Source organism: Homo sapiens, chromosome 10 (assembly GCF_000001405.40).
Source record: "Homo sapiens chromosome 10, GRCh38.p14 Primary Assembly".
Classification (NCBI taxonomy): domain Eukaryota; kingdom Metazoa; phylum Chordata; class Mammalia; order Primates; family Hominidae; genus Homo; species Homo sapiens.
The window spans coordinates 3,212,745-3,215,357 of NC_000010.11; the positions used below are offsets into that span (position 1 = coordinate 3,212,745).

General features: G+C 48.6%; 2 annotated features.

Annotated features, from left to right (window-relative positions):
- Nucleotides 1,324–1,824: an enhancer, noted in NCBI's record as "H3K4me1 hESC enhancer chr10:3256260-3256760 (GRCh37/hg19 assembly coordinates)". NCBI's record gives its function as "activates a minimal SCP1, AML or CMV promoter by ChIP-STARR-seq in naive H9 embryonic stem cells {active_cell/tissue: H9 hESC(naive)}" and the evidence as "EXISTENCE:reporter gene assay evidence [ECO:0000049][PMID:30033119]".
- Nucleotides 1,825–2,325: an enhancer, noted in NCBI's record as "H3K4me1 hESC enhancer chr10:3256761-3257261 (GRCh37/hg19 assembly coordinates)". NCBI's record gives its function as "activates a minimal SCP1, AML or CMV promoter by ChIP-STARR-seq in naive H9 embryonic stem cells {active_cell/tissue: H9 hESC(naive)}" and the evidence as "EXISTENCE:reporter gene assay evidence [ECO:0000049][PMID:30033119]".

Here is a 2,613-nt window from a genome sequence, read left to right on the forward strand (position 1 = left end):
TAAAACTTATTGAAAATATTTTAAATAATTTATTGAGCACCTACTGTGTGCCAGGCACTGCACCAAATCTAGTTACACTAAAATAAAAAATTAAAACTAAAAACCTCCAAGTCCTGTCTGGAAGAAATACCCGATTAATGTTGACTAAAATGAAGTGTTTGGATGGTCTGTTTTCACATGTTGCAGGACGCAGGGAAGGGCAAGGACTTTGGGGTGTTTTTCCCTGGCTACTTCTCTTCAGTAATATTTCCTTCTACATCTTTGTTTTTATTATACCTTAAGTTCTAGGGTACATGTGCACAACGTGCAGGTTTGTTACCTATGTATACATGTGCCATGTTGGTGTGCTGCACCCATTAACTCGTCATTTACATTAGGTATATCTCCTAATGATATCCCTCCCCCCTCCCCCCACCCCACTGAGGTAAGGCCAATTTGCACACTGAGATAAGGAGGGCAAACCTGACAGAAGGTGGGAGGCCCAAAGAGGAGCAGGAATGGAACGGTGAGATGTGCGCTGGGAGCTACAAGCTGCTTCAAATCTCTCTGTGGGAAGTGGGGGCTGGGAACTTCGCCAGGTCAGGGCTCGGAGCCTCACAAATCAGGCAACATCAGCCGTTCCCACGAGGGCTGCAGCTGCTTTCTAGAATGTGGAAAGACTTTCCTACTGGTTAGTAAATAGCAGCTGTCCCAGGGCCCCTACACTAACCCCACTTGCCCAACCACACACACTCCTCCCCTGGATCCCCATCTCCCCCAAACTCGGATTTTAAAAGGCTAACTCCCAGTCCGTCTGGGGACCCAGCCCATCTGCCCCAGCACGTGTCTGCTGTGATTGGTGAGTGTCCACGCTGTGGTGGTCCTTAGTCCTCTGCACGTGGCCTGCATGCCTGGGGCCAGCTCAGCTATGGGAGCTATGATTTTCCTGGGTTCTCTCGTGTATGATTGCGTTGAACTCTTGTAAAATGCCAACGCATGGCACAGAACAGCGATGAGTGGTTCAATTTTGTGCCTGAATGAACTGAGGCTGTGATATCCAGGGATCCTTCAAGCCCACTTTGTTTGTTGGAGGCAGACGGGGTCATGGACCCAGGCCCCATTCTTCTGTGTCAGGAGCTGAGGTTCTGAGTGGTGGGTGGGTGACGTGTGCCCGGGGTGCAGGCGGGTCATTTTTTACTGAGGAGCCTCTTTCGTTCCTCAAAGCCCAGCTCCAGAGCTCCTGCCCAGGCACTCTAGGGTTCACACATGGGGCCGGAGTCGGCGTCCAAGGGACACGGTGCTGTATTTTTTATTTTCTTCACTCTCCAGATGATGAACTATTTATTGTCACTTTCAATGAGTCATGACCATCTAAAGCTGGGCCAGACCGAAGTGAGACACCTAACCTCCCTCTTTTCCTCCTTTTTCTTTTCCAAAATCTATTCACGATCAGAGAAAAAAGCCTTTTGAGGAGGGGTTCATGGAGCAGAAATAAAACCTCTTGTCACAGCCAAGTGCTTAGGCCAAAAGTGATGTAAATTAGTACAAGCTTGGTCATTTGCAGACCGACTCCCAGACTCATTCTTCATCCCACTCTCCGCCCTGAGCTCCCATGTGGTAAAGCAGGCCGAGGCCCAGTCTCCTGACAGGTTTATGGGCTCCTGGTGCACTCTCACGCTCGGTCTTTCCAAGCACTGGTCTGGCTGTGTTCACAGCAAAGCCAGGGGCCGGATTCTTTTGAATATCAAGCCTGGGTTCTCTCGTGTACGATTGCGTTGAACCCTTCTCCTGAGATAGCACTGGCCACTGGAGGTTAAGGCCTGCTGGGAACCGGCCACATGATCCTGGCCCCTGCAGCCATGGCTGTGAGGCTACGGGGCGACCCTGGCAACCCCCACAGCTCCACTGCCTCTCATCTCGGGCTGTGTCTTATGCACAAAGCTTTCCATGCTTGCAGGGGAGCTGTGTGTGGGAAGTCCTGGGTTTTGTGATAGGGACCTGGTTATATTTATGGCCATTTTAAGGGTGCAAGATTAAGCAAGATTATAAAAGCCTAGATGTCACAGAACCTAGAGACTGTGAGAACCATCCTCTGCTTTACTGACATAAACATTGAGGTTCTCAAAAGACAAGGGGCTTCTCACAGCCACCGAGTCGGCACTGCAGCAAGAGCCGCTTCCTGGGAGTCAGCTTCCTGGTTTGAGGGCCTTGAGGCCCTCAATCAACTGCTTAATTGACACAGTCAAAATACAAGCAGTCAATCATGTAGTTATCTAGCTATCATCTATCTATCTATCTATCTTTTTAAACCTATTTCTGCTTATTTTTAATTGTAGTAAAATACGTATAACATTTACCATTTAGAAAATTTAATTTTAATTTAAAATTTTTGTAGAAGCAGGGTGTGTCTATGTTACCTAGGCTGGTCTCAAACTTCTGGCCTCAAGTGATCCTTCCACCTCGGCCTCCCAAAGCTCTGGGATTACAGGCATGAGCCATCACACCCGGCCAAATTTACCATTTTTAAGTGTGCAGCTCTGTGGCATTAGAGCCCTGTTGTGTAACCATCATCACCATCCACCTCCAGAGCCTTTTCATCGTCCCAGACTGATGCTCTGCCCCATTCAACACTCA